This window comes from Homo sapiens, chromosome 2 (genome assembly GCF_000001405.40).
Source record: "Homo sapiens chromosome 2, GRCh38.p14 Primary Assembly".
Taxonomy (NCBI): Eukaryota; Metazoa; Chordata; class Mammalia; order Primates; family Hominidae; genus Homo; species Homo sapiens.
Genome location: NC_000002.12, coordinates 13518085 through 13533642, shown reverse-complemented (window position 1 = coordinate 13533642; position 15558 = coordinate 13518085). Strand labels below are relative to the sequence as shown.

Here is a 15558-nt window from a genome sequence, read left to right as displayed (position 1 = left end):
TTCAATGGAAAGCCCATAGTTCATAAATGGTAGTAAGGGAGGAGACCACCCCTCACATTGTCTTATGCCCAATTTCTGCCTCCAAAGAAAGAAAAAGTAAAAACTAAAAGGCAGAAATGAAATCCACAAGCAGACAGCCCGGCGCCACACCCTGGGTCTGGTAGTTAAAGATCAACCCCTGACCTAATTGGTTATGTTATCTACAGATTACATTGTATAGAAAAGCACTGTGAACATCCCTATCCTGCTTTGTTCCAATCTAATTACCAGTGCATGCAGCCCCCAGTCACGTACCTCCTGCTTGCTCAATCGATGACCACCCTCTCACGCGCAGCCCCCAATCATGTACCTCCTGCTTGCTCAATCGATGACGACCCTCTCACGCGCACCCCCTTAGAGTTGTGAGCCTTTAAAAGGGACAGGAATTGCTCACTCAGGGAGCTTGGCTCTTGAGACAGGAGTCTTGCCGATGCCCCCAGCCAAATAAACCCCTTCCTTCTTTAACTGGGTGTCTGAGGAGTTTTGTCTGTGGCTCGTCCTGCTACATTTCTTGGTTCCCTGACTGGGAAGTGAGGTGATTGGTGGATGGTTGAGGCAGCTCCTTAGGCGGCTTAAGCCTGCCCTGTGGAACATGCCTGCTGGGGACTCCGACCAGCCTGAGAGACGCAGATCCTGAGAGCGCTCCCGGGTACGCATTTGCCCCGGTTGGACGCCTCGCCAGAGCAGTGTGTGGCAGGCTACCGTGGAGGATCAACACAGTGGCTGAACACCATGAAGGAGCAGGCACTTGGAGTCTGGACATCTAAAACTTGGTAAGACTAGTCTTTGAAACTTGCCCACTCCATTTGAGTGGAAGCATGGCCTGATCACCCACGACATGCCTTTATCGGCACTTTGGTTTTGGTTTTGACTTGGTTTGAATTACTTGACAGGACCGGTCTTGGGAACTTGCCCACTCCATTTGAGTGGAAGCGTGGCCTGATCACCCACGGTGTGCCTGTACCGGCCTTTGGTTTTTGTTTTTGACTTGACTTGGATTGCTTGATACTTTGGTTTTGGTTTTGACCTGGCTTGGATTTCCGGATACTCTGATTTTGGTTTTGATTTTGGTTTGGTGTAAACTACAAAAGTGCGTGTGTGCCCTTTTTACCCATTCTTTGTTTTGTGGTGCACGTGTGGTGTGAGCATGATGTTTTGTCTCGAGGAAACATGGGTGAGGTACAAAGTAAGCCCACCCCACTAGGAACTATGTTGAAAAATTTCAAAAAAAGGATTTAAAGGAGACTATGGAGTACTATGACACCAGGAACACTTAAAACTTTGTGTAAGACTGGCCAGCATTAGAGGTAGGTTGGCCATTAGAAGGAAGCCTGGACACGTCTCCTGTTTCAAAGGTATGGCAGAAGGTAACCGGTAAGCCAGGGCACCCAGACCAGCTCCCGTTCATAGACACTTGGTTACAGCTGGTTTTAGACCCCCCGCCCCCAACACACCGTGGTTGAGAGAACAGCAGAATAAGCGGCTGGCAGAGGCAAGGAAAGACCAGCAGAGAGAGAGAAAGGAAAGAGACAGAGAGGAAGAGACAGACAAAGAGGGAGTCAAGGAGAGAGAGAGAGAGAGAGAGAGAGAGGCAGAGAGAAAGAGAAAGAGACAGAGGCAAAAGGAAAGTGAGAGAGAGACAAAGTCAAAGAGAGAAAGAAAGAAAGAAAAATGATTTAACATTAACCACTGAAAATTCCCTTAACCCAGCAGGTTTCGTAACAGGGGATCTAAATCTTAATTACCATAAAAGGTCTTATCAGACCTAGGAGGAACTCCCTCCAGGACAGGATGATCGATGGTTCCTCCCGGGTAATTGAAAAAAAAAAAAGCCATGTATACCAATTCTAATTTGGACAAAACAAGGTCTTATTAATAGCAAAGGATAATTAAAATCCCAAACTTACAAGGTTTTCAATGAAAGTAAAGTTTGCTAAAAGTTAACAGTGTAACATGTATTATAGTAACTTCTATTCTTGCAGACTTAGACAGTCTAGTCCACAGACATAAAAAAAAAGGTTTGCTTTGGAAAAGAATGGTTATCATCTTCGAAAAAAAAAAAAAGAGAGAGAGAAAAAAAGGGGAGGGGGCAGAATTTATATAAAAAGAATGTTATATGGTAAATTCTTGTCCTGAAATAAATTAACTGGTTGTTTAAAGAAAGAAATGTATGTAATAAGTCAGAAAGTTAAGGCAGGTCGAAAAATTGCCTGTAAAAGTTGTGAAAGAAAAAAAAGGTTATTAAAAAAAGTGTGTTAAAAAAAGAATTTATGCAAAATACGTTGTGTAATTTAAAAGTAACTAGGCCTCCTAAATGTAAAACTATTGAAAAAAAAAACAACAGTTTATGTACAAGATGTATAAGGAAAGTAAAATATACCTTTGGTAAAAGGATTATAAGGAGGCATAAGATTGTACATTTTCACCTACATTAAAAAGTTAAAAAAAATATTGTTTTGAAGGTTTAAGCAAGTTTTAAAATGTTAATTGTAAAGAAAATTCTGTGTGTAAACATATTAGCTAAAGTTAAAGATGTATCATCCAGTTTTTCTGTGAACTGGACATTAAAGTAAAAGCATAACAGGTTTTTCTTAAAGCACCAACCTGCTCTTTAGCAAAAAGTATAAAAGGTTAAAAAGAGTCTATAAAATCTTACCTTATAGTCAAACATTAAAAATTAGATAAATATGTCTACAAGGTTTTATTAAAATTAGGTTTAACATTAATAACACACTAATATAAAGATAAAATTTAGCTTATCTGGTATAAAAATCATACAAAAAGCATTACTAAATATAAAATAGTGTTTAGCTTTCTTTGGTCTAAATACTAATAAAAATAGGTGCTAAAGGAAATTTATCAGTAAAAAGGCACTAAGGCCTATAAAGTCCACTGCCAAAGTCCCTACATTTAAAACAAAAGGTTAATTTCTTAGAAATCATATACTTGGTTTATCTTCCACTTTCCTTTCTCTCAAAAACTAAGTCTTTTAGCACATGTACCACCCCTAGAATTTCCAGTAAACCAGCACCAGCCTAAAGATCACGTTCCCATCAAAGGGTAGAAAGAAGAAAAACTCGAGCCAGCCTGGGAAGGACCCTACCCTGTGCTGCTAACCACCAAGACTGCTGTTCGTACAGCAAAAAAAAAAAAAAAAAAAAAAAAGATGGACTCATCACACCCAAGTCAAGAAAGTGCCACCCCCTCCAGAGTCGTGGGCCATAGTCCCAGGGGAAAACCCTACCAAACTAAAGCTAAGAAAAATGTAACTCTTTTCATCTATTCTATTACTCTTTCTTCTTTCCTCGTTCTATTGCTGACCATCTAGTTATTAACATAACCAAGTCAATTTTGCCTCAAACTACTGCATTTAATGATTGTCTTGTTATACCCTGTGGGGACTTGCCAAGTCAAAGACAGCTCTCTACTTCAGAAAAGTACTTCTGTCCCTCCTGACTCTCCTCAGACTGGGAATTGGTAAACTAGGACCATTGAATCCAGGGAGATTTCGATAAAGACCCCAGTGCCAACCAGGAGTCTTGCCCCCCAATGTAGTTGCCATAGTTGGTCCAACGTTCTGTGGACCACTAAAGAGCAAGGATGGACTGCCCCAGCCGGTTTTTGTAATTTCCTAAAAGCATACATTCATTTTACCAGAGGATCATAGAAGTTGAAGACTTAAAACAAACTTCAGCAATTAAGACAGGATACCAAGATGCAAATGCCTGGTTAAAATGGATCAAATAGTCCATCTGCATATTAAACAAAAGCAATTGTTATGCTTGTGCACATGGCAGGCCAGAGACCCTGATTGTCCCCCTTCCACTAAGGTGGTCCTCCAGTCGACCAGGTGTGGGCTGCATGGTAGCTCTTTTCCAGGATTCTACAGCCTGAAGTAATAAGTCATGCCAAGCTCTCTCTGCTGTATCCCAAAGTCCGACACCCTGCGGGTCAGCCCCAGAGGGCCATCCATCCTCCGTCTCCCAACACTAAGTTCACTTCGTGTCTCTCACGACAGGGAGGAAACAGCATTCCTTGGAGACCTGAAAGGATGCAGCGAGCTTAAGAATTTTCAAGAGCTTATCCATCAGTCAGCCCTAGTTCATCCCTGAGTGGATGTGTGGTGCTATTGGGGTGGACCTTTACTGGGCACTCTGCCGAATAACTGGAGTGGCACTTGTACTTTAATCCAATTGGCTATCCCTTTCGCCCTGGCATTTCATCAACCAGAAGAAAAAAAAAATAAGACATCATAAAGCGAGAGAAGCCCCTTAGGGGTCTTTTGACTCTCATGTCTATTTAGATGCAATTGGAGTCCCACAAGGAATACCAGATCAATTTAAAGCTTGAAATCAAATAGCTGCAGGATTTGAGTCAACATTTTGGTGGGTGACAGTTAATAAAAATGTAGATTAGATAAACTACATCTATTACAACCAAGAGCAACGAGCTTTTCATGAGTTAAAGGAAAAACTCTTGTCGGCCCCAGCCCTGAGGCTACCTGACCTGACAAAACTCTTTACACTCTATGTGTCAGAAAGAGGAAAAATGGCAGTTGGAGTTTTAACCCAGACTGTGGGGCCCTGGCCAAGGCCAGTGGCCTATCTCTCAAAACAACTAGACAGGGTTTCCAAAGGCTGGCCCCCAGGTCTAAAGGCCCTAGCAGCAACGGCCCTGTTAGCACAAGAAGCAGATAAACTAACCCTTAGGCAAAACCTGAATATAAAGGACCCCCATGCTGTGGTAACTTCAGTGACTACTAAAGGACATCATTGGTTAACAAATGCTAGATTAACCAAGTACCAAAGCTTGCTATGTGAAAATCCCCACATAACCACTGAAGTTTGCAACACCCTAAACCCCAGCACCTTGCTCCTGGGATCAGAGAGCCCAGTTAAACATAACTGTGTAGAGGTGTTGGACTCAGTTTATTCTAGCAGGCCCAACCTCCAAGACCATCCTTAAACATCAGTAGAATGTGAGCAGTACATGGATGGGAGCAGCTTTGCCAACCCCTGCAAAGTGACTCTGAAGAAGATGCCAAGCCCTACTCCAGTCACACCCGGAAGCTGACTGGTCCACGCAAGGCCAAAGCATGAGGAAACTCATCGCAGGACTCATTTTCCTTAAAATTTGGACTTTTACAGTAGGGACTTCAACTGACCTTCCTCAGACTGAGGACTGTTCCCAGTGTATACATCAAGTCAGTGAGGTAGGACAAAAGGTTGCTATGGTCCTAGTATTTTATGGTTATTGTAAGTGTACTGGAACTCTAAAAAGAACTTGTTTGTATAATGTTATTCTATACAAGGTAGGTAGCCCAGGAAATAACCAACCTGATGTGTGTTATGACCCATCTGAGCCTCCCATAACCACAGTTTTTAAAATAAGATTAAGGACTGAGGACTGATGGGGGCTCATAAACTATATGAGTAAAGTTTTAGCCAAAACAGAAGAAAAAAGGGTGCCCAAACAAGTCACCTTAAAATTTGATGCCTGTGCTGTCATTAATAGTAATAAGTTAGAAATAAGGTGTGGTTCTCTTAATTAGAAAAGAGGCTATATGGCAGAAAATAAATACATCTGTCATAAATTAGGACTGTGTGGAAATAAATGTAAATACTGGTCTTGTGTCATTTAGGCCACTTGGATTTAAAAAAAATGAAAAGGATCCAGTCCACCTTCAGAAAGGAAAAAAATGGCCCTTCCTCTACTAAGGGACAATGTAACCCCTTAGAGCTAGTAATAACCCATCCCCTTGAACCTCGCTGGGAAAAAGAGAAGCGTGTGATCTTAGGAATCGACGGGGCCAGACTGGATCCTCGAGTAAGTATCTTGGTTCGAGGAGAAGTTTACAAACGCTCTCCAGAGCCAACGTCTCAAACTTTCTATGATGAACTAAATGTGTCAGTACCAGAAATTCCAGGAAAAACAAGAAATTTGTTTTTGCAATTAGCCGAGCACGTAGCCCAGTCTCTCAATGTCACTTCACGTTATGTATGTGGAGGAACTGTAATAGGAGATCAATGGCCATGGGAAGCCCAAGAATTAGTACATACAGACCCAATTCCTGAGGGATTCCTGGCTCAAAAGAATCACCCTGATAATTTCTGGGTCCTAAAAGCCTCAATTATTGGACAATATTGCATAGCTAGAGAAGGAAAAGAATTCACTCACCCCATAGGATGACTTAGTTGTCTGAGACAGAAACTGTACAATGGTACCACAAAAACAATCACTTGGTGGAGTTTGAATCACACAGAGAGAAATCCATTTAGTAAATTCCCAAAGTTGCAAACCGTGTGGACCCACCCAGAGTCCCACCGGGACTGGACAGCCCCCACTGGATTATACTGGATATGTCAGCATAGAGCTTACACCAACTTACCTGACCAGTAGGCAGGTAGTTGTGTTACTGGCATGATTAAACCATCTTTCTTCCTACTGCCCATAAAAACAGGTGAACTCCTGGCTTCCCTGTCTATGCTTCCCGTGAATAGAGAAGCATAACTATAAAAAATTGAAAAAATGATAAATGGCCCCCTGAGAGAATCATACAATATTATGGGCCTGCTACTTGGGCACAAGACGGCTCGTGGGGATACCGGACCCCCATTTACATGATCAACCGAATCATATGGTTACAAGCTGTCTTAAAAATAATCACTAATAAAACGGGCAGAGCCTTGACTATTCTGGCCTGGCAAGAAACTCAGATGAGAAATGCTATCTATCAAAATAGATTAGTTCTTGACCACTTGCTAGCAGCTGAAGGAGAGGTCTGTAGGAAATTTGACCTTACTAATTGCTGCCTACACATAGATAATCAAGGGCAAGTAGTTGAAGACATAGTTAGAGATATGACAAAACTGGCACATTTGCCCGTGCAAGTGTGGCATGGATTTGATGCTGGGGCCGTGTTTAGAAAATGGTTCCCAGCGCTAAGAGGATTTAAAACTCTTATAATAAGAGTTATAATAGTAATAGGAAGCTACTTACTGCTCCCTTGTTTGCTACCTGTACTTCTTCAAATGATAAAAAGCTTCATTGCTACCTTAGTTCACCAAAATGCTTCAGCACAAGTGTACTATATGAATCACTATCGATCTGTCTTGCAAGAAGACATGGGTAGTAAATATGAAAGTGAGAACTCCCACTATTGAGTGAGAGTCTCAAATAGGGAGAATAAGGGAGGAGACCACCCCTCATATTGTCTTATGCCCAATTTCTGCCTCCAAAGAAAGAAAAAGTAAAAACTAAAAGGCAGAAATGAAATCCACAAGCAGACAGCCCAGCGCCACACCCTGGGCCTGGTAGTTAAAGATCGACCCCTGACCTAATCAGTTATGTTATCTACAGATTACAGACATTGTATAGAAAAGCACTGTGAAGATCCCTATCCTGTTTCGTTCCGATCTAATTACCGGTGCACGCAGCCCCCAGTCACGTACCCCCTGCTTGCTCAATGGAGCACGACCCTCTCACACGCACCCCCTGAGAGTTGTGAGCCCTTAAAAGGGACAAGAATTGCTCACTCAGGGAGCTCGGCTCTTGAGACAGGAGTCTTGCCGATGCCCCTGGCCAAATAAACCCCTTCCTTCTTTAACTCGGTGTCTGAGGAGTTTTCTCTGTGGCTCATCCTGCTACAGTAGTTCCTGGGTTCCCAGTAGGAAAAGAGGCCAACCCTCAGTAAGCAAACACTTTTCAAGTTTTTACTTGTATCATACTTGCTAATGCCCTCTGACCAAAGCAATTTGCAAGGCCATGCCGAGATTCTAAGGATGGAGAGAAAAACTTCACCTCTTTTTTGAGGAGTCGCAAAGTCACATTGGGAAGAACGTACCTACATGGATGGGAAAAAAATGTGGCCGTTTTTTCACTCTACCACAATTCCATTGATTTATATTCCATTCAATATCTACTATGTTGACCAATTTTGAACCATTCTTGTTTCCTACTTAATGTGAAAAAAAATACAGTATCATCTTTAAACCCTTCCTTTTTCTTTCACCCTGTCAATGTCTTCACTGTAAACCATGCTAGCACATACCAAATATATATATGTGTGTGTGTGTGTGTGTGTGTGTGTGTGTGTGTGTGTGTGTGAAATCATTTCAAATTCTTATTCTGCATACTGGGAGAAAATAAATTCTAGACTTATTTGGTACTGAAGTCATTAATACCAAAGAATTTCCATATTAATATTACTACTCATTGATTTACTGTGTCAGTATGACTCTGTTACACCTCGTATCTGCCAATAGTGATTAAGCGCTGAATGGCATTTACCTGTAACATTTGTCTACTATGAACTGTTTTCAGGAAGATTTAATTTACACATTTAAGGACAGTAGAGCCAATATAATGTTGTTTAAAAATAGCATTTCTTAACTGCTATAAGACATCTATGAGTCTTCAACCCTATTATTCTGTCTCTTCCTTTCGTTTTTATTAATGACATTGCAGCACAGCTGAAGGCATGTCACAATTTATCATTTATCTTGAATATAGAACATGGATTAAAACAATAAAATTAGTCACCTATATATTGGCTTTCTTTTTTTTAACTTTTCAATTAGATTGACATCATTAGGAAAGACATTGACTATGAAGTACATCAAAATGAAGAACAAGTGGATATATTTTCACATGAATCCAGTTTTGTAAGTGGCTTATTAGGAAAGTGAGGTGGGAAAAGCAGTGGGAACGCGGAGGGCTATATCCTTTCTCTAGCTTGGCTGCTAACTCATTATTTATCTCAACAGGGTTACATCTCTCTAAGCCATAATTTATTTCTCTATAAATCTATGAGTTGGGAGTAACAAGCTGGTTTTCCCCAGGTATTAACAGAGCTACTTCCAGGGTTCACCACAATTGTAACTTGGTTTCACTTCTGATTTTACATTTAACTTTAAAAAAGAAAACTGAAAATTTTCACGTGTGGATGCTTTATTCATCAACTTTTCATACTTTGTGTTTGTTGTGGAGTGAATGCTGGATTAATCCCTTTTTTGAGTGTAACAGATAGTCTCCTCTGCATTTTTTGCTTAATTAAAATTGCCACTCTACTATGGACTCAATTATGTCCACTAAAAATGTATATGTTGATGCTGTAATCCCCAAATGTGATAGTATTCAGAGATAGAGCCTTTGGTAGATGAGGTTGTAAGGGTGGGGCCCTAATGATGAGATTGTTGCCCTTATAAGAAGAGACACCAGAGAGCTTGATCACTGTCTCCACCATGTAAGGACAATGAAAAGGCAGCCAGATAGAATCCAGGAAGAGAATCTGATCCTGCTGGGCTTCTAACCTCCAGAGTTCATCTTGGACTTCTAACCTCCAGAACTGTGAGAAATGAAATTATTGTTGTTTAAACTACCCAGTCTATGGTATTTGATATAGCAGCCTGAGCTGCCTAAGACATCTTTTTCTGACTGTAACAGAATAAAATCTTTTCTGCATCCTTTGCTTCATTAAACATTTTTAATATATAGATTTTTAAATTTATGAGAGTTTTATGGATATTAGGCAACCAAAACAAAGCGACAAACTCATTAGGATGTTACAGGCTTTATAAGACCCCATGAATTCCCTCCCCCATCTCAAAGTCACTTATTTATTAAAATGACCTTAATTTTCCATATGATTTTTGTTAAATACATACTACCAGTTTCATTGTGTGTATTTTTTATTGTATTAAAAAGTTCCTTCGCCTATTCTGTATGTCCACATATAAAATAGCCTGTGACAAAAATATTCTACACTGAGAATGTGAAACTTGAGAAAAGGAAAATAGCTGAGAGCAGTCTGAGATCTGCAAAGTATGCAGACCCAGAGAGACGTGGGTATGGGATTCAGTCATGCTCACACCCCACACCCATGCCTAGGGGAAATTGTTTAAAGTCATTTTGTTCCTGACTGCCTCACTCAATACCTTCATGTTCTTAGAATTTATGATACAAAGAACAATGCTGAGCCAATCAATGGCTTATATTATTTTAATGTAAATCCTCGGTAAAAACCTCAGGAACTGACTCTTTCTTTCCCTTTAAAATCCACTTGTTACTGTTGCTAATCAGAGTGTATATTCAGGACAAATAGAATCTATGCTCTTGGGCTGCAGCCCTCAAACTTGGCCCAAGTAAACTCTGCTTAGTAATAGATTAATTTTAGCTCAGCAGGTTCCTTTGAGATAGGCATATCTGGCATCGTCAGCAGGATTCAGAGTGACTCATTCTCACCACCAGGTGCGGTGTTTCTGCCTGAAAGCAGTGCTTGATACCAGCACGAACTCTGCATCTTCAGAAGTCCCACTGGGTGTTCTGGGTAAGTTCTCCAGAATTAGGACCTCCCACTCCTTGGTTGAAATATAGACTTTATTTGGCTGTTTTTCAAACTGTCTCTTTTCTTTAAGAGAGGGCTTTGGTCTCTGTCTTTGGACACAAGCTCCAAGTAAAGAGCTCTGTAGAAAATGTCTTTTTGCTGCTGTGTCTCACAGGAGAGGTTCAGATCAAGGTTCTTCCACCTCTGCCTCAGGACTGGAGGCTTAGGTCAAGGTTTTTCTGCCTCTGTCTCACAGCAGAGGTTCAGGTCAAAGGATTGGCAGTTAGACACGGATGGTTTTGTTTTATATGGCCTACTTTTAAGATTAAAACTGTTTCTTCTGCTTAAAAATTCAGACCTATCCTTTTATTTGAGACCAATTCCTGTTAGTTTCTAACCGAAAAGTGTTCCCTCTTTTTGCTCTTCCAAACAGGTACACTATGAAAGTCTGGTCCTCATACACTGAGCACACTATTGCTCCCTGGAAGTTAGAGACAGTCTGAGATAAGTTACACTTTCACCCTAAATACATTCCCAGGCTTGACACTTTTGAAAAGTTCCTAAATTATGGGAAGTCAAGCATCAAAATTAGAGTATTCCTTTTAGAAACACCAGCTGGATTTATGTATAACACTCGTGGGGTATCCTCTTGTAAAGGCCTAGGAAAGTGGACCCACCTAACCTGGTGATACAGAAGGCAGAAATTATTTAGGCAGATAGTGAGGGCAACAGAGTTCTTGGCAGAGCTTCCCTTCTAACAAAAAGCAGCCCCCCAAATCATTGCTTTTCTAACAAAGAGCAGCCTGAAAAATAGAGCTGCAAACATAGATAATCAAGCAGGAAGCTTGCACGGGCGAATGCTGGCAGAGGCACCAATAGAAAAGGGCCACCTGGGGGCCAGGCATGTCCAACACGGAGGCTCCATCTTCCCTTTTCTTGTTACCATGTGTAGAGTAAAGAAACGGGCAACATGGCACAGCTCAGGCAGAAGACCCGCCTGCATAATAAAAGATTATGGTAGGGGTGGCCAGAAATTCATACCCTATGCACACGGCACATCTAGTCCCAACCAGTTTTTCATGACCTATGCAAGTGGCACACCTGGTCCAACCAATGTTTCACACCCTGTGTAAATCAAACACTGCCTCCTCACCAGGCATCTATAAAACCCCTTGCATTTCACCATGGATCCGGCAACCCATTTTTCTGGACCCCTGTCTGCAACAGAGAGCTCTTCTCTTTCTTTTGCCTATTAAACTTCCACTCTCAACCTGACACTTTATGCATCTGCATCCTAGATTTCTGTGTCTGTGAGACAACAGATCTTGGGTGTTACTCCACAATGAGGCCATTTCACTGGGACGATCATAAACAGCAGTAACCAAAATAAGAATCCTTTGCTATGTTGAAAATAATTCTTTGTGCACACAATTGGAAAAAAAAGCTGGTTTTTGCACCACACAAACTGAATCAGAGTAGTTTGTTTGTCTTGAATTAAATCTGGTAATAAGAAATTTAAAAAGATTCTTTCTTAGAGCTCTATGGTCAGAAGTCAGCTTAACTAAAAGCTGACATTTAGGCTATAATTTTAAAAATAAGAATAAAAGGGGCTTTCTGCATTTTCTTCTTTTGGATCCTGTTTTGGGGGATTTTTTTCCGTTGACTGAAACTCTTTTTAAATGTGTTTGATCCCTCTGGTTACTTCCTATCTTGTTGGCATAATTTTTGCTGAGAAAAATGTAAAACATCATTTGCCTTTTAGAAAGCTTAACATGCCCCCAAATTGGCTCTTATAAGACTTATTCTTTTGTTTCTTTTCACTTCTGATCCTTTTTTCACTATTTTTGATACCACAAATAATAGTAGTAATAATAATAATAAAATAATATAGTATATCTCTAGAGGAGATATATTGTATTATTGTCTTTCAAAATTGTATGATATTCCTAAAATTATGATGTGTTAACATATGTTGTCAGACACAAATATGGTTATTATGTTACACTGTCATTCGCCACAGAATTTCCTTGTCAATTGTGTTTTTAACCATGGTTAGTCTAAGTCTTTTGTCATTCATAGAAAATTATTGTTTTACTTGGATTCTTCTCAGAAAGTGGTTTACAATTGACAACAGTCCAAAATTTGCTTTTTTTTTTTTTAAGACAATTCATGAGAATGAACCCTGACAAGTACTCTTGAATACAGGTTTCTAATAACTTTGGAGATTGTATTATTAGACTAAGTAAAGACTTTAAGAACTCCCATAAACTGATGTGTTCATGAAGATTTCTAACTCAACATCAAGCAGAATGAGAATTTATTATGTGGGACTGAACTGATAGAAAAAGAAGACTGAAATGCTTTTTAGGACTTTGTGTTTAAAACATTGCTGATTCTTTTTATATTTGTTTTGCAGAGTAAATGAAACTTTTTTGAGCTGTTTATAGCTTACAGAATTGGGTGAAATATAACATTTGTGAACAACATTCTCTATACCTTATTTCTCCAAAATTTAAAATCCATTTATTAATAATCTTATTTTATGGTAACCATAAAATAAGATACACTGATTATTATACTAAGGCTATGACCAAAATGGCATATTTTTGGATATTATCAGACTGCTTTAAAAAATTAAGATTGACTTTATAGAGTCAATAAAAAGTCCTCAGAGAGATTGACCTGGTACTTTGTCTACATAGTTCCTTTCAAAAATTCTGACCTTGCAGTAAGTAAAGAATGTCAATATCCAACAGGCCCAGGAAACTCAAGATATCTTGGGGACCTTGAGAAGGGAGAAGTTTATTCAATTTGTACAGGTATTACAGGCACATTCTAATTGTGAATCTTTGACTTGGCTTCCTAGCCTGGAGACTTATAAAAGCCTAATCTGAAATTCCTTAAGAAAGTTTCAGCAAAGCCAATTTAAAAGAGCCTATATGGTAATCGCTATTCTTGTTGTGTTTTTTGAAAATAATCAGGCTCAGTACAACACTAAAACTTATTTTGGAAGTAAATTGGTCCTACTAAGATTTGTCTTAGGTGTAAATGGGAAACTGGAGAGAGAAAAATTATGGTTCAGAGAAAAATTATAGCATACCTGTTATTAGATTCCAGCCCTGACCACTGTTTTTGAGTTTTTGTCATTTTCCAATAATTTGGACTGAATCCCCAATGAAACAGGTTTTTTACTATGTATTTATCAGTTTTTCTTCTTCTGAGAAAACCAAAAGCATGAAATTCTGAAGACTGGAGATGACTTAACAAGAAATGACAGTTATAGAAATCAATGACTTGACTGAGGATTATCCAAGAATGAGCCTTCCCAGTGCCAAGGGATGAAGGCCTAAGAGATTGATCATCACTGCTTCCATGGGAAGATTTTTTATAAACAGGAGAAATGAGGAAAGGAAAATAGCTCCGAGCAGTCTGAAGTCTGCAAGGTGTGCAGGGCCAGAGAGACATGAGTATGTATATGATGCCACACTATGCCTAGGAAAAGTTTAGTCCTTGTGCCCCTGACTAGCTGCCTCGCCCATTATCTTCATGTTCCTAGAATTTGTAACACAAAGAACAATGTACAACCTATAAATAGCTTATGTTATTTTAATGTAAATTTTTGGTAAACAACTCAGGAACTGCCTCTTCTTTCCCTTTACTTCCCTAATTGTTTACAAGCAACACTTATTACGTTGCTGATTTGAGTGTATATTCAGGATAAATAGAATCTATGCTCCTGGGTTGCAGCCCTCAAGCTTGGTCCAAATAAACTCTCTACTTACATTGTTTGCCTCAGCTGCTTCCTTTTTTGTCAAAAAATCCACGGAATTAAATGCTCTCTTGAAATATTTTAAAGATTAATCTTGACTGGTTCCCATGTCAAGAGAAGGAAACTTAAAAAAAAAAAAACTGTATAGAGGTGCTATATTCTCACTGCTGAGTTGCTGGTAAGTTTTCATTTTTAATGAGGTCCGTGTCACACTGAAGGGTTGGAAGTTCTAGCTTGAAGATGTAGCATATGGTGGTTTTATTAAGGAGACTCAAGAAAAGCTTAAAGGGATAGGTAAGAACCCATGGTTAGCAGAGAATTTATTATGAATCTGAACATTTTTAACACAAAATATTAAAATTCAGAAATATGTGCCAAAGCTGTCAAGTTAGAATTAAGCCTTATGTGAGAATCCAAATGAGTAGGGTCAGAGGATCTTGGTACTGAAAGTATCATTACATGTTGGAGATCATGCAATAGTAAAGTCCAGAGACACAGATGAAGGAAATGAATTTTCCCAAGTATATACTCTAAGCCTCAGACATAGCTAGGTTCAAGCATGAAAGTGATCATACATATTATCACAGGGAAAGACAGTAGGGTTTTAGACCCTTTTCTCCTAAAATATTTCTAGAGTTTGCAAAACTTAGCTAACCTATGAACAACTGGTGCTCTGCATATCATTGAATAATTTTATCACCCCCCTATTTAGTTATTAAAAGCTTAATTGACAAAATGCCTATCTACTTCCTGTATTTCTACATTAGTTGCATTCCTATTTGCTTTATGTTTGTGTAACAAAAGAACCATTTTGAAGATTTTGCCAAAACAAAGAAAAGATTTCCTAAATATTTCCACTGAAAAGTGACATAAACCCATAAAAGGCAAACTTAATAATCAATTTAAAAGTTAACTAAAATAAATTGCCTTTCTTCTAGGAGTTCTACTGCACATAAGTTCTTATTTCGGTCTCTTAGTGCTTCCTACCTTAAGCTTGAACATAAAGAAAGGCTTAAGTATGGATTTGGCCTGACTTAATTAAAATTAATGTATAATGAAATATATTGATGAAATGAGCTACTTGGTCTTCTGGTAAATGAAGATATTTGTCAAAACATAATTTTCTAATTTATATATAGCGAGGTGAAGCATAAACTTTATGAAGAGAAATGTATTTAAGATAATTTTTCACAAATTACTTGTTTTATAAAATGTGTTTTTGTTCTGCCCTACTTTTTAACTTTCTCAGCATCACTAACCAGTGTCTTAGAACAATAGTAGGTGTATATGCAGTACCATTTATACTGAAAGGAGTAGAGTTGATATTAATGAAATATTTCACCCTGCCTCAATTTCAGGTGTGGTTTTGGGTGAATTCCCTAAAAGTCAGTTCAGAATTGTCATTAAGAATTGCAACCTTACTCTG

At 39.1% G+C, this 15558-nt stretch overlaps 1 long non-coding RNA gene across 1 annotated transcript, besides 2 other annotated features; it reads left to right on the top strand.

The window, feature by feature from the left end:
- Positions 1-436: 436 nt before the first annotated feature.
- LOC105373485 (uncharacterized) lies at positions 437-14146 on the top strand. The gene is made up of 2 exons (XR_922814.3): positions 437-812; positions 10288-14146. It is a non-coding gene; the product is annotated as an uncharacterized LOC105373485 (long non-coding RNA).
- Positions 9861-11060: an enhancer, noted in NCBI's record as "CDK7 strongly-dependent group 2 enhancer chr2:13662708-13663907 (GRCh37/hg19 assembly coordinates)". NCBI's record gives its function as "activates an origin of replication core promoter dependent on BRD2, BRD4, P300/CBP, MED14 and CDK7 cofactors, with strong dependence on CDK7, by STARR-seq in HCT116 cells {active_cell/tissue: HCT116}" and the evidence as "EXISTENCE:reporter gene assay evidence [ECO:0000049][PMID:35650434]".
- Positions 10112-10481: an enhancer, noted in NCBI's record as "active region_15343". NCBI's record gives its function as "activates an Ori minimal core promoter by ATAC-STARR-seq in GM12878 lymphoblastoid cells {active_cell/tissue: GM12878}" and the evidence as "EXISTENCE:reporter gene assay evidence [ECO:0000049][PMID:35858748]".
- Positions 14147-15558: the final 1412 nt, after the last annotated feature.